At 48.6% G+C, this 21,054-nt stretch overlaps 1 protein-coding gene and 1 pseudogene across 5 annotated transcripts in view; one reads left to right on the forward strand and one right to left on the reverse strand.

Annotated features, from left to right (window-relative positions):
- PMS2P5 (PMS1 homolog 2, mismatch repair system component pseudogene 5) overlaps positions 1-20,720 on the forward strand; it is a 30,371-nt pseudogene extending 9,651 nt beyond the window's left edge. For 2 of the 3 annotated variants that reach the window (NR_027775.2, NR_027776.2), the window contains 2 exons: positions 469-557; positions 5,160-5,807. The product of NR_027775.2 is annotated as a PMS1 homolog 2, mismatch repair system component pseudogene 5, transcript variant 1 (transcript). Of the gene's footprint in view, positions 1-468; positions 558-5,159; positions 5,808-20,020 lie in introns of those variants that run through there. The other variant, NR_027777.2, reaches the window with a different exon arrangement.
- On the reverse strand, positions 3,871-14,660 carry SPDYE12 (speedy/RINGO cell cycle regulator family member E12). 2 transcript variants are annotated; one of them, NM_001382555.2, is made up of 8 exons: positions 14,539-14,660; positions 12,733-13,315; positions 11,511-11,729; positions 10,419-10,477; positions 9,104-9,189; positions 6,434-6,677; positions 6,207-6,311; positions 3,871-5,353 (listed from the first exon to the last, which is right to left on the reverse strand). In NM_001382555.2, exons 2-7 carry the CDS (start codon positions 12,860-12,862, stop codon positions 6,252-6,254), a joined length of 798 nt encoding a protein of 265 aa, NP_001369484.1. In that variant the 5' UTR covers positions 12,863-13,315; positions 14,539-14,660; the 3' UTR covers positions 3,871-5,353; positions 6,207-6,251. The 2 variants fall into 2 exon arrangements, with proteins under 2 accessions (NP_001369484.1, XP_047275634.1); XM_047419678.1 differs by lacking the exon at positions 14,539-14,660 and having other exon boundaries at positions 3,883-6,311.
- Positions 20,721-21,054: the final 334 nt, after the last annotated feature.

Genomic DNA, 21,054 nt, shown 5'->3' on the forward strand with positions numbered 1-21,054 from the left:
AGGTCAGGAGTTCAAGACCAGCCGGGCAAACATGGTGAAACCCCGTCTCTACTGAAAATACAAAAATTAGCCAGGTGTGGTGGCGTGTGCTGTAGTCCCAGCTACTAGGGAGGCTGAGGCAGGAGAATTGCTTGAACCTGGGAGGCGGAGGTTGCAGTGAGCCGAGATTGTGCCACTGCACTCCAGCCTAGGTAACAGAGCAGGACCCCATCTCAGTCAATCAATCAATCTCAGTGGTTGAACTACCCTTGATATGGTTCAGCTCTGTATCCCCAACCAAATCTCATGTCCAATTGCAATTCCCAGTGTTGAGGGAGGGACCTGGTGGGAGATGATTGGCTCATGGCGGCTGACGTCCCCCTTGCTGGTCTCGTGATAGTGAGTGAGCGCTCATGGGATCTGGTTGTTTAGAAGCATGCAGCACCTCCTGCTTCACTCTCTCTGTCTCTCCTGCTCCACCATGGCCAGAAACGTGCCTGCTTCCCCTTCGCCTTCTGCCGTGATTGTCAGTTTCTTGAGGGCTCCCCAGCCATGCTTCCTGTACAGCCTGCAAAACTGTGAGTCAATTAAACCTCTTTTCTTCATAAATTCCCCAGTTTCCAGTAGTTCTTTATAGCAGTGTGAAAACAGACTAATGGACCCTTCTGGTTGAAGGAATGTAGCCATTCTGCTTGTTTAAGTATTTCCTTTCTATTCATCTCTATTTCCCGGGAGGTGTTTATCCAAGTGCAATAGGAGATATTGGTGACTGCAGAGTCCCCTCAGTGTTCTGCTAGTAAATAGTTGAAGGTTGATCAGTGATCTCCAGCATTTTCAGTCTGGCATGGAAAAGCCCCCATGTAACTGGTAAAGGTATCAGTAAGCACCAGGAGGTATCTAAATCCACCAGGAGCCATAGGCATCATGTTGATGTCCATTTACCAGTCTTCCCTGGCAAGATTCTCTGAATTGTACTGCCTTGGCCAAAAGAGGTATGGGAGGGGCTGGGCACAGTGGCTCACGCCTGTAATCCCAGCATTTTGGGAGACCAATTCGGGTAGATCATTAGAGGTCAGGGGTTCAAGACCATCCTGGCCAACATGGTGACATTCCATCTCTACTAAAAATACAAAAAGTCAGCGGGGTTTGGTGTTGGGTGCCTGTAATCCCAGCTACTCGGGAGGCTGAGGCAGGATAATCACTTGAACCTGGGAGGAGGAGGAGGTGGCAGTGAGCTGAGATCTCGCCATTGCACTCCAGCCTGGGCAACAAGAGCGAAACTTCATCTCAAAAAATAAAACAAGAAGTCTGGGTGTGGTGGCTCGTGCCTGTAATCCCAGGACTTTGGGAGGCCAAGATGGGTGGATCATGAGGTCAGGAGTTCAAGACCAGCCTGGCCTAGATGGTGAAACCCTGTCTCGAGTAAAAATACAAATATTAGCTGGGCATGGTGGCACACACCTGTAATCTCAGCTACTCAGAAGTCTGAGACAGAAGAATTGCCAAAACCCGGGAGGGAGAGGTTGCAGTGAGCCGAGATCGCGCCACTGCACTCTAGCCTGGGCGACAGAGCAAGACTCCGTCTCGAAAGAAAGAAAGAGAAAGGAAATTCCCCAGGGAAGTACCTCGGCTTATTTCATGAAGAGGTACTGAAGGAAGCAGAGGCATGTGGAGGACTTCCCCACCTCGTGCAGCTATTTGGGCCGTGGCGTCTGAAATTTCTTATTTCAGAGTCACCCCTTTGATGACCTTGGCAGTGGACTGCAGTCATCTGTTTAGGCCTCTCCATGGCCCGTGTCAATGCCGATATTTCTGTCTGTTGCACATTTGATTTCCTTGTTGTTGGCATTTAGAAGGCCCCCTGTTTCCCAGATCACACCACGGGCATGGACCGCAGAGATTGCATCTTGTGAGTCTGTAGAAACAGTCAAGGCCTTGTCCTCTCTTAGGTCCAGAGCTCAGGTGAATGCAGATTTTCCCGGCCATCTGTGCTGAAGTCCCTGTGGGGAGGCTCCTGGCTGGTTTCCTGTAGGTAGACAGCTACACATCCTGCCCTTCATTGGCTTCTTTTCATGAAGCTCCTGCTGTCTACAAAACATGTCTCCCTTTTCTTCTTGAACCACATCTCTGTTATTGAAACTCTAGAAGTCAGCCAGGCACAGTGGCTATGCCTGTAATCCCAGCACTTTGGGAGGCCAAGGTGGGTGGATCACCTGAGGTCAGGAGTTCAAGACCAGCCTGGCCCACATGGCGAAACCCTGTCTCTAATACAAATACTAAAATTAGCCAAGCATGGTGGCCACTGCACTCCAGCCTGGGTGACAGAGCAAGACTCTGTCTCAAATAAAGAAAGAGAAAGTATCATGCTTTTCAGAGTTCTGTGGGTTGTTATGGTGAATTATCAAACCTGAGGACGTGGTGGGAACCTCCAAATTTGCAGCCAGTTGGTGAGAAGTACATGCGGTCTGTGGACACCCAAGCTTGCAGCTGCATCTGAAGCGAGGGCAGCCTAGCGGGGGCTGGTGGCCTTAACCTGTGGCATTTGATGTAACATCAGGGAGTTGACATCAGAATTACGTCACACAGGCCAGGTGCAGTGGCTCATGCTTATAATCCCAGCAATTAGAAAGGCAAGATAAGAAGATTGCTTGAGCTTGAGTCTGAGCCCACAGTGAGCTATGACCGCACCACTGCACCCCAGTCTGGGTGACAGCACAAGACCCCGACTCCAAAAATAAAAAAGAAAAATCACAAAGAATTGCATGGCAGAGTGCCTGTCTTTCACAGCTTGAACTGTTGCAGGAACTTTCTTTTTTTCTTTCTTTTTTTTTTTTTTTTTTTGTGATGGAGTCTCGCGCTTTCACCCAGGCTGGAGTGCAGTGGCGCGATCTCTGCTCACTGCAGGCTCCGCCTCCTGGGTTCACACCATTCTCCTGCCTCAGCCTCCGGAGTAGCTGGGACTACAGGCGCCTGCCACCGCGCCCAGCTAATTTTTTGTATTTTTAGCAGAGATGGGGTTTCACCGTATTAGCCAGGATGGTCTTGATCTCCTGACCTCATGATCCGCCCACCTCAGCCTCCCAAAGTGCTGGGATTACAGTCCTGAGCCACCGCGCCTGGACTTTTTTTTTTTTTTTTTTTTTTTGAGAGGGGTTGGGGAGACATATTCTCTGCTAGTGATTCTCCTGCCTGGTCTCGAACTCCTGCTGGGATCACAGGCGTGAGCCACCACGCCCAGCCACCTTTAGAGTTTTCTTACCACCTGGTTTTCCTCTCTCAATATCTTTCTCTCATTTCCTGCTTTAAAACTCTAGCTTGGGGTCTGGGCACAGTAGCTCATGCCTATAATCCCAGCACTTTGGGAGACTGAGGCGGGTGGATCACTTGAGGTCAGGAGTTTGAGACCAGCCTGGCCAACATGGTGAAACCTTGTCTCTACTATTTTTACAAAAGTTAGTCAGACGTACAGGCGGATGCCTGTAGTCCCAGCTACTTGGGAGGCTGAGGCAGGAGAATTTGCTTGAACGCGGAGGTGAAAGTTGCAGGGAGCCGAGGTTGTGCCACTGCACTCCAGCCTGGGAGACAGAGCGAGACTGTCTCCAAAACAAACAAACAAACAAAAAAACCCTGTAGCTTGGGATCAGCCTTCTCTTCTGTTGTTTTTCTTTAAAAAATAAAAATTAAAAATAGGCTTCAAGTGATCCTCCCGCCATGACCTCCAAAACTGCTGGGATTGTAGGTGTGAGCACTGCACCCAGCCGTATGTTTTTTTCTACATAAAAAACAGCACAGGATTATCTTCCAAAGCTAATAAATATGTTCAAATAAGCACAACCCCATTAAGGAAAAATGTCACTTGACAGCAAATAATCAATCCAGACCACAATATGATCACACTCACTGTGAAGGTGAGAAAAGTTCATCTTTATTATGTTTCCCCAAGAGATGCACTGCACTGTTCTCTTGAAAACACACAGCTCATGTCCTCCTTTAGAACACACATCCTCTTTAAAGTAACATACAAACATGCCAAAACAAGATAAAAAATTCCATCTGAATTCTCACATTTCAAACATACACTAAATATCAAATAAAAATTTATTTTTACAAGAATTTAGGGGAACTACCACATAGCTATAAATGTAATATATATGTTAACTAAGTATCATAGATAAAAACCATGCTCCCCTTCAGCAGCACGTGTAATAATAGATACAAAGATTGAAAGGTAAAAGATTTAGGATGAAAAGAATCCTCTCTTAAAAAGGAAAACAAAATTATATGTATGTGTATACAACAGTTATAACACCCATCACACAGCTTTGTAGAAACAGCATCTATTCAAAAATACCAGTATTTCCAAAATATTTAAAATAATATTTAAAGTAATAATAATATTTAAATAAATAAACATATTTAATAAATATTTCAATAAATAAAATAATATTTAAATAATTCTATACCCATGTTTTTCAAAATAAACCAATAAAATAGATAGTATATATTAGACGTGTTAGTATATATATCTGAGACATGTTAAAAATCACAACTGAATTCTCACAATTCAGTCACAAACCTAAACAGCAAATAAAAATTTCTATCACCAGAATTATGTTTTTTTCTGGTGGGGAACTACCAATAGCTATAAATAGAAGAGATTATTATGGAAGTATCATAGATAAAAAGAGTGCTCGCTTCAGGAGCACATATAATAATACAGAAAAAAATTTAAAGATAATAAAAGATTTAGGATAAAAAGAATTCTCACTTAAAAATGAAAAGAAAATTATCTTTAGGTATATATAACAACTATAACTCTCATCAAAAAACTCTACAGGAACAGCATGTTTTCAAAAGTACAACAATTTCCAAACTATTTGAAATAAACCTATTAATAATTCAATGGCCAACATTTTCCAAACAAACCAATAAAATGCATAGTGTGCATGAAGCTATCTGTTACAGTCTGTGGCACTCATATTTCACAAAGAATTCTGTGCCAATCTGAGCCCCTGCACTGTGCCTTCAAATGCTCCTGGACTGTGGCAACCAAGTCCATAAGAAATAGGACCTCCAGGTTCCGCCCCAGGGAGGTTGGCATTCAGCAATATAAAAAGGGAGGTGGTGCCGCAGGAAAGGGTGGAACTGGAAACACTCCTGGTTTCTTACTTTTCTCCAAGGACTCCTAGAAGTACCCCACCCCACCCCTGCTCCTTGGAGGACAACGTGATCACTGTATTCAGCTCTGTCAAGAATGGTCCAGGTTCTTCTAGATGATCTGCACAAATGGTTCCTCTCCTCCTTCCTGATGTCTGCCATTAGCATTGGAATAAAGTTCCTGCTGAAAATCCACATCTCCCCTGGGTCCGGTGTTCTGGAAGTGAGAGAGACAATGTCACACTTCAAGGAGGCAGCTCTCTAGACAGGAAGGTTATTCACGTCCCATGTCAAGTCTAGCTAGAGTTCAGAGCAATTGAGAAGTGCAATTTTATCTCCTGCCTTTCATTCTATACCCTGCTTCTGAACCATCGTGTTCAACTGTGAAACTCACACTTTGGTGACCCTGACTCCAAAACTTAATACACCCAAGGTCAGCCCCAGTGATCTGCTTCATAGCAAGGACTTTGGGTGGGTCTTCCCAGGGAGTAGGGCACCCTCAGAGAATGTGGCTTTGGACTTCATCACAGCTGGGGCCTTTTGTGTCACTTCAGATCTAAACTTGTAACCGTGCTAGATCTGTTTCTAATGTGACAACATCACGAACCACGAGTCCAGAAGCCTAATCCATAATCCTCCCTCCTCATGACAAAGTCTCATGCTCTGTGCTCAACATGGTTAGCTGCACAAGATGTAAACCAAAGCTTCACTGAACCCTCGACCCAGATCGGTAACTCAAGTGCATCAATCATAATGAACCTCCCCGAACTCAGTATTTATGATTATTTTTGAGGCAGGGTCTCACTCTGTCGCCTGGGCTGGAGTGCAGTGGCAGGATCAGGGCTCCCTGCAGCCCCGACCTCCCAGGCTCCAGCGATCCTCCCGCCTCAGCCTCCTGAGTAGTTGGGAGTAGAGATGCCTCCCACATCGCCTGGCTAATTTTTGTATTTTTGTGGAGAGGGGATCTCGCCACGTTGCCCAGGCTTGAAGCCAGATCAAGCAATTGGGTTCCTTGGATTTCCGAAATAGACCCCAATATTCTGCCTTTACCCCGGAGGATGCAGATGTACCTTCTCTCAGGCCGATGACCTCAGGCCTCCACGGTCCCTGGAGCTCTAGGAAAGGTGGGCGCGATCTCGCGCCCACACCCAGTGCTCTGGGTCATAAGCCTGGATCTGGAAAAACAAACGCGCTTTGAGAAGACGGGGACTCCCCAGGATACCCCTCTCTCCCCTCGTCCAGCCTCCAGCCCACCCGATTCCTCCCCACATCCTCCACGTCCCCAGGCCCCACCCACCTCTTCCAACTCCTCCAGGGAAACCCAAGCCCTGCAGCGCATGGAACAAAAGAAGTGGAACCGATACTTCCGGAACAAGGCTATCTGAGAGCAGTTCTTCCTGGCCCTCGGGTTCATGTAACGGCATAACTGGAACCAAAGCTCACGGAGCAAGGGTATATGAGAGCGGGTCTCCTCGTACAGGAAGTAGAAGATGTTTTGTTTGGGGGCCTCATCGTCCTCCTCCATGTCATTGGCCAGATAGCTGAGGACAGAAATCAGGTTGCTGCTCAGGGGCACCACCAGGAGAGACCTCCGGCTGAGGTCAGCTTCTCAGAGAGGAAGGTAAGGGACCGTCCCTAGCTCAGGACTGGCACCCACCCTGCAGAGAGCCATGCCTTCCTCAGGAGGGCTCTGCTGGACAGAGACCTGATCAAGGGCGTCTCCCACTCCTTCAGGATGGAGACAAAAACCCAACTGGTGACCAAGAGTGGTGGCTTATGCCTGGAATCCCAGCACACTGGGAGGCCGAAGCAGGAGGATCACTTGAGGCCAGGAGTTTGAGACAGGCCTGGGCAACATAGCAAGACCCTCGTCTCTATTAAAAATATAAAAAATACACCAGACGCGGTGGCTCATGCCTGTAATCCCAGCGCTTTGGAAGGCTGAAGCAGGTGGATTGCTTGAGACCAGGAGTTTGAGACCAGCCTGGTCAACACAGAGAAACCCCATCTATACTAAAAATACAAAAATCAGCCTGGTGCGGTGGCACACCCATTAGTCCTAGCTACTCAAGAGGCTGAAGCATAAGAATTGTGTGAACCCAGGAGGCGGAGGTTGCAGTGAGCCAAGATTGGGCCCCTCCATTCCAGCCTGAGAGACACAGCAACACTCTTGTCTTGATAAATAAATAAATAAATAAATAAATAAATAAATAAATAACTGTCCAGGTGTGGTGGTACAGCCCTGTAGTCGGAGCTAATCAAGAGGCTGAGGTGGGAGGATCGCTTGAGCCCAGGATATGGAGGCTGCGGTGAGCTATGATCTCACCACTGCACTCCAGCTTAGGGGACAGGGCAAGTCTGTCTCAAAAAAAAAAAAAGCAATTGAATACACTGATATTTTGCCAGGACCCTGCCTTCTACAGGCATCTAGTCTAATGGGACTGGGAGTAATCAGGGGAGATGACCTAATCCCAATGTCACGTTATAATAGGATGTAACTGGAGAGCTACGGGCATGCAGAAGTTGGAAGATGAGGGAAGGCATCACAGAGGCTGTGGGGTGAACCGACTTCAAGGAATGGGTCCTTCCCTTCAGAACCACATGTGTGCGGGACACCCAGACAGAAAACACAAATGCAAAGTCAAGTGGAGGGCATTTGGAAGGAGCAGTGAAGCCAAGCCAGGAAACACCAAGATGGCGAGCCAGTGTGGTTGTAGAGATTGTAGAGAGGGTGGAATTGGCACTGTGGACCCTGGCCTCGATAGAGAAAGACATCAGCTAAGGAAGTTGTTCAGGTGGGCAGTGAGGTTGTCGTGCTTTGGAAAGATGTTCAGGCTGCACTAGGAAGCCCCCTGGCTTGGGGAGAGACTCCAGGAAACCCCAGCAGGGAGCATTTGACAGTGGATTCGAGTGATGCAAGGGGGACCTGAACTGTGGCCTCTGTCATGGGAACCCGGAGGAGGCTGATGGCTTTTGCGGTTGATGTGGGAAGGAGAGAGAGAGAAGAACCGGAAACGTCTGCTTGCTGGGGGAAGTGTCATGTCCGCTCCTCCGCTCCTTTTCTTCTCCCCTTAGGAGCGGTTCATGGTTCCTTTTGTTTTTTGTTCTTTTTTTTTTTTTTTTTTTTTTTTTTTTTTGAGACGGAGTCTCATTCTGTCGCCCAGGCTGGAGTGCAGTGGTGCGATCTCGGCTCACTGCAAGCTCCGCCTCCCAGGTTCACGCCATTCTCCTCCCTCAGTCCTCAGAGTAGCTGGGACTACAGGCGCCCGCCACCACACCCGGCTAATTTTTGTATTTTTTTTTTTTTAAGTGGAGACAGGGTTTCACCATGTTAGCCAGGATGGTCTTGCTCTCCTGACCTTGTGATCCGCCCACCTCGGCCTCCCAAACTGTTGAGATTACAGGCGTGAGCCACCGCACCTGGCCTGTTTTACTCTTGTATTTGTACACTGGCATTGGAGTTTGGTTTTTTTGCCTGGTTTTTTTTTTTTTTTTTGGCTTTTTTTTTTTTTTTTTTGAGAAAAAGTCTCACTCTGTTGCCCAGGCTGGAGTGCAGTGGCTCAACCTTAGCATACTGCAACCTCCACCTCCTGGGTTCAAGGGGTTCTCTTGCCTCAGCCTCCCAAGTAGCTTGGATTACAGGTGCACACCAACATGCCCGACTGATTTTTCTATTTTTAGTAGAGACGGGGTTTTGCCATGTTGGCCAGGCTGGTCTCAAACTCCTGACCTCAGGTGATCCGCTTGCCTCAGCCTCCCAAAGTGCTGGGATTACAGGCCTGAGCCACCATGCACAGCCTGAGTTTCTTTTTAGAAATAACAGTCTAAGATACTATAATCCTGTCTTTTTTGTACACAGAGTAAAGAGGACAAATAGGTGAAAGAATAAATGAAAGGCTGGAATCCCACTTCCCCCGCTGTCCCAGGGCATTGGATATTGATGGATAGGAGGCAGCAAACCACTCACAGAGCCAGGAAGAAATGAATGCGTTGGTATTGCCAGGAGGGGAGGCCGGCCCGGCTGAAATACGCTATGACCATAGCCAGGAGATACTGATGGAGAGAAAGGAACACAGAGAGGGAGAGGTCACATCTTGGGAGAGGAAGATTGTGGAGATAGTGGAATGGGGGTCTGGGGAGGGGCTGCCCATCAGAGAAGGGACCTCAGCATTGGGGTGACTGTGCTCATGTGGAAATTGCGGGGTGGAGGGGTATTCGAAGGTCGGATGCAAATCCGAGAAGCCGGAGGAAGGGTTTTCGGTGATGCTCCCAGGATGGTGGGCTCCGATGGGATCTTTGGAGGGGGTGTGTCTAGGTCGGCTGGTGTCAGGAGGGTCTTTTGTGTGCCAGGCAGAGAACTGTCCCAAGGAGCTGAGAGTAGAGGGCCCAGGAGCTTCAGGGCTGCAGCCAGACTGTGGCCCAGGGCTCAGATCCCAAAGGACTCATAGGGGAGGCAGGGGCCACTCATTCACTCTGCAAGAGACCAGCAGAATCCTGACGGAGATGCTGACAAATCATAAAAAGACAAAGAATAGCCGGGAGTGGCAGCTCAAGCCTGTGATCCCAGTACTTTTTGAGAGGTGGAGACAGGAGGATCATGTGAGCCCAACAGTTGGAGAACAACCTGGGCAACACAGCGAGACCCTGTTTCTACGAAGGTTTCAAAAATTAGTTGAGCATGGTAGCATGTGCCTAGTCCCAGCTCCTCAGGAGGCTAAGGAAAGAGGATTGCTTGAGCCCAGGAATTAGAGTGAGCTATGATCATGCCACTGTACTCCATCCTGGGGAGCAGAGCTGGACTCTTGTCTCAGAAAAAAAAATGTGTGGGTGCCAAGACTCAAGACCATGGGAGCTGGTCAGACACAGTGCTGACGTCTGTAATCTCAGCACTTTGGGAGGCCAAGGCGGGTGGATCACCTGAGGTCAGGTGTTCGGGACCAATCTGGCCAACATGGCAAAACCCCGTCTCTACTAAAAACACAAAAATTAGCCAGGCGTGGTGGTTCATGTTTGTAATCCCAGCTGCTTGGAGGCTGAGGTGGGAGAATCGCTTGAACCCAGGAGGCATCAGCTGCAGTGAGTCAAGATCGAGACACTGCCCTTCAGCCTGGGCAACAGAGCAAGACTGTGTCTCACAAAACAAAAACAAAAACAAAAACAAAAAAAAACTGTAGGAGCATCTGGTGGGAGGTGGTGGAGGGAGAACTGTGGGTTTGGAAGCTGCGCCCTCCCCCTGGCCGTGCGTTAGAACAGGAACACAGTTACATAGAGAACAACCTTACCTTGTCCGACACCCTCAGATCTTTGTCCCAGGCCAGGAGTCTTTTAATGACAGGATCCTCTGTGATTAGAGAGCAGATGTCAGTGTGAGAAGCAGGACAGGGTTTCCGTGAGAGCAGCAGGGCAGTGAGGAGAAGTGTGCCTCCCGGGGGAAAGTCTCAGGATTGTGGCTGCGGGTGAGGTGGATGGGAGAGGGGAGAATGACTTTCACTGGGCAAGGGAGAGAGGCTCCTGCTCTGAGACTCCCCTGAGAAGAGGCCGAAGGAGGCCCTGGGTGTGAGAATCTACAGGATGTAGAGCTGGGAATCAGCCAGGACCCCCTCCAGCAGACACGGAGGGACCACTGCAGAGTCATAAAGGAATTCCCATCATTTCCTCATGAGACAGTCACACATCAGGGTGTGACCATGGCCTTGGGATCCCTCACTATGGATGGAGACACTTAGGTTTAGAAAAGTCAGTAAGAAACATTAAGTTTCAGAGGGCACAGCTGAAACCACTTTTTTGATTTTTGATTTTGTTTTTCTTTATTTGATTTTTATTTTTATTTATTTATTAATTTATTTTGAGACAGAGTCTTGCTCTGTGGGCCAGGCTGGAATGCATTGGCCTGATCTTGGCTCACTGCAACCTCTGCCTCCTGGGTTTAAGCAGTTCTCCTGTCTCAGCCTCCCGAGTAGCTGGAACTACAGGGATGAGCTACTGTGCCCAGCCTTGGTTTTTCTTTTGACGCAGAGTTTTGCTCTGTCACCCAGGCTGGAGTGCAGTGGTGCAGTCATAGCTCACTGCAGCCTCAAAGTCCTGAGTTCAAGCAATCCTCTTGCCTCAGCCTCCCAACGTGCTGGGATCTCAGGCGGGAGCCACAGCGCCTGGCCCAAAACCAAGCTTTCTTATCCCAAGCACCGACCTTTATCAAGTCTACCTAATCCTCTGTTGTCTCCTTAAGTGTCCCTCATGAGTGATCACTTCAGAGTCCTCCCGCATGGAGAGCTCACCCACTGGGGCATATTTTTCCCATTGGAAAAGTGTGGTTATTGGAAGTTTCCTCTTTAGAAAGAACAGGATTGGAGGTGCTCTCTGGGGTGTCCTCCTACCAAGCAGCCTGTTGAAGGCCTCGTAGTACTCAGGGAGCACGAGCGACACTCGCCGTCGCTTCGCCTTCATCTTGAGGCCACACAGCGTCTCCGCCACCCAGGTCTCCTCAGGCTCAGGGGCGAGCTCCTTCTCTGGCTCATCATCAGATTCATCCAAACATTCCCTCTTCCTTTTCCAGCCAAGGGACCTACGTGGGGGGCTGGGATCTACCCCAGGGGCTGAGTAAAGAAACCAGGCCACCGTGTAATGCTTCTGCAACTGATCACGTTAGACCCCGACCCCAAACCCCAAACCACTCTCCATCCTCCCCAGCCTCGCAGACTGCTGGCTTCTCCAAGCCACCTTTCTGACTTTCTCCTCTGCTCAACCCCATGTGCCACTCCTTCCCCTCCCCATTCTTCCCTCTCTCTGTCCTCAGAACACTGCCTCATATCCTTCCCTGGTCCCTGGCTCTCTGAGTCCCTCTTTTTTTTTTTTTTTGTTTCGAGACAGAATCTTGCTTTGTCACCCAGGCTGGAGTGTAGTGGTGCAATCTCAGCTCACTGCAACATGCATCTCCCGGATTCCAGTTATTCTCCTGCCTCAGCCTCTCAGGTAGCTGGGATTACAGGTGCCTGCCATAATGCCCAGCTCCATTTTGTACTTTTAATAGAGACAGGGTTTCACCATGTTGGCCAGGCTGGTCTCAAACTCCTGGCCTCAAGTGATCCGCCTGCCTTGGCTTCCCAAAGTGCTGGGATTACAAGTGTGAGCCACTGCACCCAGCCTGAATTTCTCCATTCTTCCCACACACCCTCCCCAGGTTCTCCTTCCTGACCTCTGACCCTTCTTTTTTTTCTTCTTTTTTTTTTTTTTTTTTTTTTTTTTTTTTTTTTTTTTTTTGAGATAGCATCTCACGCTGTCACCCAGACTGGAGTGCAGTAGCACGATCTCGGCTCACTGCAACCTCTTCCTCCCAGGCTCAAGTGATTCTCCTGTCTTAGCCTCCCAAGTAGCTGGGATTATAGGCACACACCACTACCGCCTGGCTAATTTTTGTACTTTTAGTAGAGATGGGGTTTCACCATGTTGGCCAGGCTGGTCTTGAACTCCTGACCTCAGGTGATCTGCCCGCCTCAGCCTCCCAAAGTGTTGGGGTTACAGGGGTGAGCCACCACGCCTGGCCCCCTTCCTTCATCTTAGTCAATCCTATGCCACCTCTTCTTCCTCCAGTCCCCTCACCTGATGGTCCCGACACTTCATCATCCACCACCTCCTGGAGGGGGTACCCTGAGGTGCTCCGCTGGGGGCTCTGCTCTTCCTGGGGCTGCGGTTGATGGCTCATCATGATCTTTCCCAAAATCTGTCCCATCTCACCAAACCTAGTCTCTGTTCTGTCCTTGGTCTTCTTCTGGACACTGCTGGGATCCAGAAGAGTGTGTTATCAATTCTCGAGGCTGGGAGAAGTCAGGAGTGGAGAACAGCTCTGAGAAGTTACTGTTGTCCAACTGAACTCCCAGGTGCCGACAGAGTCCGGTCCCTCCAATCAGGAAGGTCGGAATCTCTGATGTCATCGCTCATGCCAACCTGGCAACCAGTTTGAAAAAAAACACATGTAACTGCCAGGCTGATCTCTTGTCCTGGAGATCCTGGGTGAATGGTATCTCCTGCCACTGTCCCAACCTCAGACCACTGTCCAAAAGCATCTTCAGGGTCTCCGCATCCCTCTGTTCCCTGTCCCAGCAGAGGCTGTGTCCTCTCCACTCAAAGCTTGAAGCGTGTTGGGGTCTCCTCTTCTCTGTACATGCCCGTTTCAGAGTCCAGTCTGGTGGGAGAGGGATCAGGATGGGAAAGAAAAGTAGGGTAAGCAGAAACGATGAAACCTTACAAGAGTGAGATTATCATGTACAAGAGATCCCAGGAACATTGACTTGATGAAAAAGTCACATCAGAGCACTCAATTTGGCAGAGGTTTTCTGCCGAATGTCTACTGACATTCACTGTCCGAGATTCTGTACTGGGGGTACACGCGTCCTCTGCCCTAAGGCATCTTTGAGTCCAAGAGATACTTTGAGGACTGGAAATCATAGGAAACTGCCCATGAGTTCACACATATTTCCAATGGTGTCCCCAATTTCAGGGAGTCCACGGATCACCTAAAGCCAGCCCCTCCAGTTTGGCTAAGAAACTCTATATATCAAGTTTTGTATCATATGTATTGCTCTTAACTCAGAAAATTCCACCATTTATAGCAGTGGTTTATTTATTTATACCATTGAAGGAAATGGTTTATTTATGAATCTATATTACGGATATTCTATAAGATACTGGGTGTACAAAAAGACTAAGTCGAAAAATCTCAGCTGTGCACAGTGGCTCATGCTTGTAATCCCATCTCTTTGGGTGGCCAAGGGAGGAAGACTGCCTGAGGCCAGCAGTTCAAGACCAGTATAGGCAACATAGCAAGAGCCCATCTCTAAAACAAAACAAAACAAAACAAAACAAAATTAGCCAGGTGTCGTGGCTGGCACCTGTGTTCCAACAACTTGAGAGACTGAGGTGGCAGGAGGATTGCTTGAGCCTAGGAGTTAGGGGCTGCAGTGAGCTGTGATCGTGACACCGCACTCCAGTCTGGGCAACACAGCAAGACCTTGTGTCAAAAAAATTTTTTTAATTAAATATAAAAGAGTTTCATGACATTCAGAGACCATCCAAAGAACCTGTGGGTTCTGGCCAGGCACAGTGGCTCACGCCTGTAATCCCAGCGCTTTGGGAGGCCATAGCAGGTGGATCGCTTGAGGTCAGGAGTTTAAGAGCAGCCTGGCCAACATGGTGAAACCCCATCTCTTCTAAAAATACAAAAAATTAGTCAGGCATGGTGGTGGGTGCCTGTAATCCCAGCCACTCAGGAGGCGGGGACAGCAGAATGGCTTAAACTTGGGAGGCGGAGGTTGCAGTGAGCCAAGGTCGCACCATTGCACTCCAGCCTGGGCAACAAGAGCAAAACTACATCTCAAAAAAAAAAAACAAAAAAAAAACAAAAAGAACCTGTGGATGAGTTCCCACATGGCTTCCTAACGGGCTGCGGCTCTCCTAGGAGTCTCTCGCTCATGGGAAAGGCATAAACTGAATGCGGAAGGAAATCCCATTGCTGTGGAAGTCCCATTGTTAGGAAGCTCTGCTTTTCTGGAGTTCAAATTTGCATTCATGACGCTTTAAACCGTCAGAGCTGGGTGTGTCCTCCTACAACAAATCACTTTACTCTCTCTCTCTCCTAGTTAACAGGCTTTCAACTATTAGAACATCCATGTTCTGACCTCATTAAAATTGCTCTTTTGTGGAATGAAAAGCTCTGATTTAACCCGTCTTTAAGCCTGGTATGCATATTCCTCTCTGTTCCGGCCACCTTGTCTAGACACACTACACTGAGGCAGTGCCCATCTTAGATGATGTTGATACATTGTCAGAAAATGGGCAAACCAGGTGCGGTGGCTCACACTTGTAATCCCAGCACTTTTGGAAGCCGATGCCGACAGATAACCAGAGGTGAGGAGGTTGAGATCAGCCTGGCCAACATGGTGAAACCTGTCTGTTTTTCTGTAAAAATACAGAAACAATGAGCTGGGCGTGGGAGTGCACTTCTGTAATCCCAGCTACTTGTGGGGCTGAGGCAGGAGAATCACTTGAACCGGGAAGGTGGAGGTTCCAGTGAGCCGAGATCACGACACTACACTCCAGCCTGGGCGACAGAGTGAGACTCCGACTCAAAAAAAAAAAAAAAAAAGTGCCAGACAGCCCTGGTTTGGTCTGATATGTTCAGAAAAAAGCAAAACAGTCACCTCTCACCTTTTCTTTTCCTGCAATGATGCCGTTTAATACAACAATGGCTGTAGGTCTGCGGCAGAAATATCATTCAAGTGAAACAGAAGGGCTTTCCTGGCTGGACACAGTGGTCACTCCTGCAATCCCAACACTTTGGTTGGCTAAGGTGGGAGGATTTCTTGCGGCCAGGAGTTCGAGGCTGCAGTGAGCTGTGATCCACCACTGCATTCCAGGCTGGGCATCAGAGTGAGACCTGTCTCTAAAAAAACCCTTCACTCCCCAAATAAAGGGATTTTCAAATACCAGCCTTTCAGCATGAGGATCACATGGAGGAACATTAAGACACAGATGCTGGGACCCAGCCCTATTGATTGTAATTAAAAAACTGAGGTGAGGCCTGATTTAGCTCCATCATTGGAATCCATTCAGATTTGAAATTCTCTGAGTTGGACAGTGCAAGAGAGATCCTAAAGAAAGCAAAGTCACTGTGGACTGAAATGAGCTGACAAGGTTTTCTGAGCGTGGTGAAATATGATCTGGGCCTCGTTTGGGAGGGCTGTGGCCAGGCCTTGAGTCCGTGGCTCAGTGGGACCTTCTGAAACAGCCTCCAATCCGTGCCCCCACTTCATTTGCTAGTGGATGACCCCCTCCAGCGGCTTTGGTGCTGATGGGAATAAGTCAACCTGCAGCGGAAGTTCAGCCCAAGTTTCAGCCCAGCAGCTTCTACACACCTGTCCGTGGTCTGGTCATGCTGCCATCTCTGCGGTTCTCTGCGGAGTCGTGGTTTCTGTACCTTGAAGAGAACTTCCCCTCTGGGACCCAGAAACCCAGTGAATCCTCAGGAAAGAAGGGAATGAAATTACTGAAGACAACTCTGTGGCGGGGAGATGGAAAAGAGGCTCTCTCTCTTTTTTTTTTCCTAATATTTTGAGACAGAGTTTCGCTCTTGTCACCCAGGCTGCAGTGCAGTGGCTCCATCTCGGCTCACTGCAACCTCTGCCTCCCAGGTTCAAGCGATTCTCCTGCCTCAGCCTCCCGAGTAGCTGAGATTACAGGCACCCACCACCACTCCCGGCTAATTTTTGTATTTTAGGGTTTCGTCATGTTTGCCGGGCTGGTCTTGAACACCTGACTTCAAATGATCCACCCGCCTCTGCCTCTCAAAGTGCTGGGAATACAGGCATAAGACACTGCACCCGGCCTGTTTTTGTTTTTTAGAGACAAGGTCTCTGTTGCCTTGGCTGGGGTGCAGTGGTACAATCAGCTCTCTGTTGCCTCCTGGGCTCAAGCAATCCTCTTCTCTCAGCCTCCCAAGTAGCTGAGACTACAGGTGCATGCCTGTAGTAGATATAGCATCTTGCTCTGTTGCCCAGACTGGTCTTGAACTCTTGGTCACAAGCGATCCTCTTGCCTTGGCCTCTCAAAGTGCTGGAATTACACGCGTGAGCCATTGAGCCCAACCAGATAAGATGATCTTTAAGGGCCCTTCCCATGGTACCATATCCAAGTCAGCGAGACTGTGGCTATAGCAAGTTTAACATAACCAGATACGCTAGTATTATGGGCTGCATGGTGTGCCCCCCACCCCTAATTCATGTATTGAAGCCATGACCCTCCAGACCTTAGAGGTGACCTTATTGGAACCAGAGTCTTTACAGAGGTGATCAAGTTAAAATGAGGTCACTAGAGGCCAGGCACGGTGGCTCACACCTGTAATGCCAGCACTTCGGGAGGCCGAGGCAGGCAGATAATGAGCCCAAGAGACCGAGACCATGATGTCCAACATGGTGAAACCCTGTCTCTACTAAAAATACAAAAATTAGCCAGGCGTGGTGGTGTGGGCCTGTAGTCCCAGCTACTCAGGAGGCTGAGGCAAGAGAATCGCTTGAACCCGGAAGGCAGAGATTACAGTCAGCCAAGATCATGCCACTACACTCCAGCCTGGGTGACAGAGTGAGACTCTATCTCAAAAAAATAAAAATTAAAAAACTAAAAACCTACAGTACCGCCTTTTACATAATGCAATGGTTTGGTAAGCACATGCACCCCAGGGAGGTAGTGGCAGATTCAGTCAACCTTCCCAGCAGCGTGGAGACGCAGTCAGGCATAGCAGGTGTTGATGTGGTTTGAACCCACAGCTTGGCTCAAATCCACACTCCCCTACTTAGTACCGAGTGAAGCCACTTACCCTCTAAGTGCCTTACTTTTCTTTTCTTTTCTTTTTTCTTTTTTCGAGACAGAGTCTCGCTCTGTCACCCAGGCTGGAGTGCAGTGGCATGATCTTGGCTCACTGCAAACTTCGCCTTCCAGGTTCAAGCAATTCTCCTGCCTCAGCCTCCCAAGTAGCTGGGATTACAGGCGCCCACCACCATGCCGGGCTAATATTTGTATTTTTGATAGAGATGGGGTTTCACCGTATTGCCCAGGCTGGTCTCGAACTCCTGACCTCAAGTGATCTGTCTGCCTCGGCCTCCCAAAGTACTAGGATTAGAGGCGTGAGCCACCACACCTGGCCACTTTTCTTATCTATATTTGTTATGTGGATGACTTGTGTTAACGCAAATAAGATGCTGCTCGTCATCTTTAAAGAAAATAGGTGGCAACCTGTTATAGCAAGTCCTGTTTTTATTTGTACTTATGAGGCTTTAGTTAAACGCTAAGAATTAAAATGCACATAATAATAGACTTTACCTCACAAACTGGCTTCAATTATTCGATGAGACTTATATGTATTACTTAAATGAGGTTAAATTTAACCTTTAAAAAATGATTTATTGTGGCTGGGCACAGTGGCTCACACCTGTAATCCCAGCACTTTGGGAGGCCAAGGCAGACGGATCACTTGAGGCCAGGAGTTGAAGACCAGCCTGACCAACACGGCAAAACCCCATCTCCGCTAAAAATACAAAAATTAGCCAGGCATGGTGGTGCACACCTGTAATCCTAGCTACTCAGGAGGCTGAGACACAAGAATCGCTTGAACCCGGGAGGCAGAGGTTGCAAGGAGGTGAGATCACACCACTGCACTCCAGCCTGGGCAATAGAGTGAGGCTCTGCCTTAAAACAAAGAAAAATGATTTTGGGGGATGATGGGGTGTCACTATGTTGACCAGGCTTGTCTCAAACTCCTTGCCTCAAGCAATCCACCCACCTCAGCCTCCCAAGTAGCTGGAACTACAGGCGCATGCCACCACGCCTGGCTAATTGTGTGTGTGTGTGTGTGTGTGTGTGTGTGTGTGTGTGTGTGTGTGTGTGTGTGTGTAGAAACAAGGTCTTACTGTGTTGTTTAAGCTGCTCTCAAACTCCTGGCTGGGCTCAAGTGATCCTCCCACCTTGGCCTCCCAAAGCATTGGAATTACAGGTGTGAGCCACCTCACTGAGCCCTCCACCTTTCAGCTGAACGCAGAAAAGTACAATCTTTTAACCCAAAGCGTTCCTCACACTTAGGGTCAGGAAGAGCCCTTCATGCCCTGGAGGCAACTACTAACCCTCTGCTAAACACTCTGACTCTGGGTGTGAGAAACACACCTACTGTGCCCCACATATTTTTCCAAATACAACTTAATTTAGCCTTCACGACAACCCTGGAGTGAAGGATCATTAACTTTATTTCATAGATGTGGAAACTGAGACTCAGAGGCAGGAAATGACCTCCTTCTGGAGGCTGCAAATTCTTTGATGCTCCTTTGATCAACAGGTGGGAGCTGGCCAGAGGTGGTGGCTCACACCTATAATCCCAGCACTTTGGGAGGCCAAGGTGGGAGGATTGACTGAGGCCAGGAGTTTGAAACTAGCCTGGGCAACATAGCAAGACCTCATCTCTACAAAAAATACACAAATTAGCAGGGTGTGGTGGTGCACACCTGTAGTCGCAGCCACTCGGGAGGCTGAAGTGGTAGCATTGCTTGAGCCCAGGAGGTTGAGGCTGGAGTGAGCCATGATCAAGCCACTGCACTCCAGCCGAGGAGATGGAGATAGACCCTGTCTCAAACAACAACAAAAAAATAGGTGAGGATCAGCCAGGCATGGTGGCTCACGCCTGTAATCCTAGAACTTTGGGAGGCCAAGGTGGGAGGATTGCTTGAGGCCAGGACTTCAAGACCAGCCTGGGCAGCCTAGCAAGATCCCATCCCTTAAAAAAAAGTTTTTAGGCTGGGCATGGTCACTCATGCCTGTAATCCTAGCACTTTGGGAGGCCAAGGCAGGCGGGTTGCCTGAGCTGAGGAGTTTGAGACCAGCCTGGGCAACATGGTGAAATCCTGTCTCTACTAAAATACAAAAAATTAGCCAGGTGTGGTGTTGGGCACCTGTAATCCCAGGTACTCAGGAGGCTGAGGCAGGAGAATTGCTTGAACCCAGGAGGCAGAGGTTGCAGTGAGCCGAGAGCGCGCCACTCCACTCCAGCCTGGACAACAGAGCGAGACTCCGTCTCAAAAAAAAAATGTTTTTAATTAGCCAGCTGTGATGATGCATGCCCATGTCCCAGCTACTTGGGAGGCTGAAGCAGGAGGATTGCTTGATCCTGGGAGGTCAAGGCTGCAGTGAGCTATGATTGCGCCCCTGCACTCCAGCCTGGGCAGCGGAGGGAGACCCTGTCTGAAAATAAAAAAAGAGGTGGGGGCCTATGACCCCCCCTTTAATTTTGGCCCAACCTTAGTAACAGGATAGTCATTGAGTAGGGCAAAAGTGATGTTATGATGTTTTTCAGCCTCCAATTTACAGTCTAAAACATGTACGCGGTGGCCCTGAGCTGTTGTGTAAATGGACTCACTGCCCTGAGGCCACCATGCTGCAAGGAAGCCCAAGCTAACCCTAGGATGTGCCCTGAGACGACATGAAGACGCATCCCCAGCCAGCCTTCCACTACCCCATCCTTCACTGCCCCATTCTCACCCCCGCCCACCTCCTTACTCCCTCCACCCCTCCACCTGCCTCCAGCCAGAATTGCACAGCCAGCTACTTCCAGAATCGCTGGTCCAAAGAAATCACGACAGGCGCTAAGTTTGGGGCAATCCATTTAATGCTACTAAGTTGTGGGATGGTTTGTTTGAGCAGCCCCAGATAACAAACATTCCTTGAGGTCACATGCTAACCAAGCTGTGATTCGAACACTGCCTCTCAAATTCACGAGCAAAAGAGGGGGAATTCTGTTTGAAATGCCAAAAAGAACTCTTTCTTGCTTTTATTATTTTTAATTTATGTATAATAATTGTATGTTTATATAATAATTGTAATAATTTACGGGATACAGGTGATATTTCAATATATGTATGCAATGTGTAATGATCACATCAGGGTGATTAGCGGATTCATTTCCTCAGTTATCATTTCTTTGTGTTGGGAACATTCAAAATCTGCTCTTCTACCTATTTGAATATAGAAAATAAATTGTTTTGTTTTGTTTTTGAGAAAGAGTCTCCCTCTATTGCCCAGGCTGGAGTGCAGTGGCGCAATCTCGGCTCACTGCAACCTCTGCCTCCCAGGTTCAAGCTATTCTCCTGCCTCCGCCTCCCGAGTAGATGAGATTACAGGCACGTGCCTCCACTCCCAGCTAATTTTTGTATTCTTGGTAGAGACGGGGTTTCACCCTGTTGGCCAGCCTGGTCTAGAACTCCTGACCTCAGGTGATCCGCCTGCCTTGGCCTCCCAAGGTGCTGAGATTACACACGTGAGCCACCGTACCTGGCCTCTCCTCTCTAATTCTGAGATTAACTTTTTTAGCTACCACATGTTAACACAATC

The sequence above is a fragment of the Homo sapiens genome, chromosome 7 (assembly GCF_000001405.40).
Source record: "Homo sapiens chromosome 7, GRCh38.p14 Primary Assembly".
Taxonomy (NCBI): domain Eukaryota; kingdom Metazoa; phylum Chordata; class Mammalia; order Primates; family Hominidae; genus Homo; species Homo sapiens.

Coding starts and splice junctions, on each gene's coding strand:
- SPDYE12 (NM_001382555.2), bottom strand. CDS start 12,862: ATGGGACAGATTTTGGGAAAGATCATGATGAGCCATCAACCGCAGCCC. Junction 11,730..12,732: donor TGAAGTGTCGGGACCATCAG/GTGAGGGGACTG, acceptor TTCTTTACTCAG/CCCCTGGGGTAGATCCCAGC. Junction 10,478..11,510: donor GGCCTTCAACAGGCTGCTTG/GTAGGAGGACAC, acceptor CTCTAATCACAG/AGGATCCTGTCATTAAAAGA.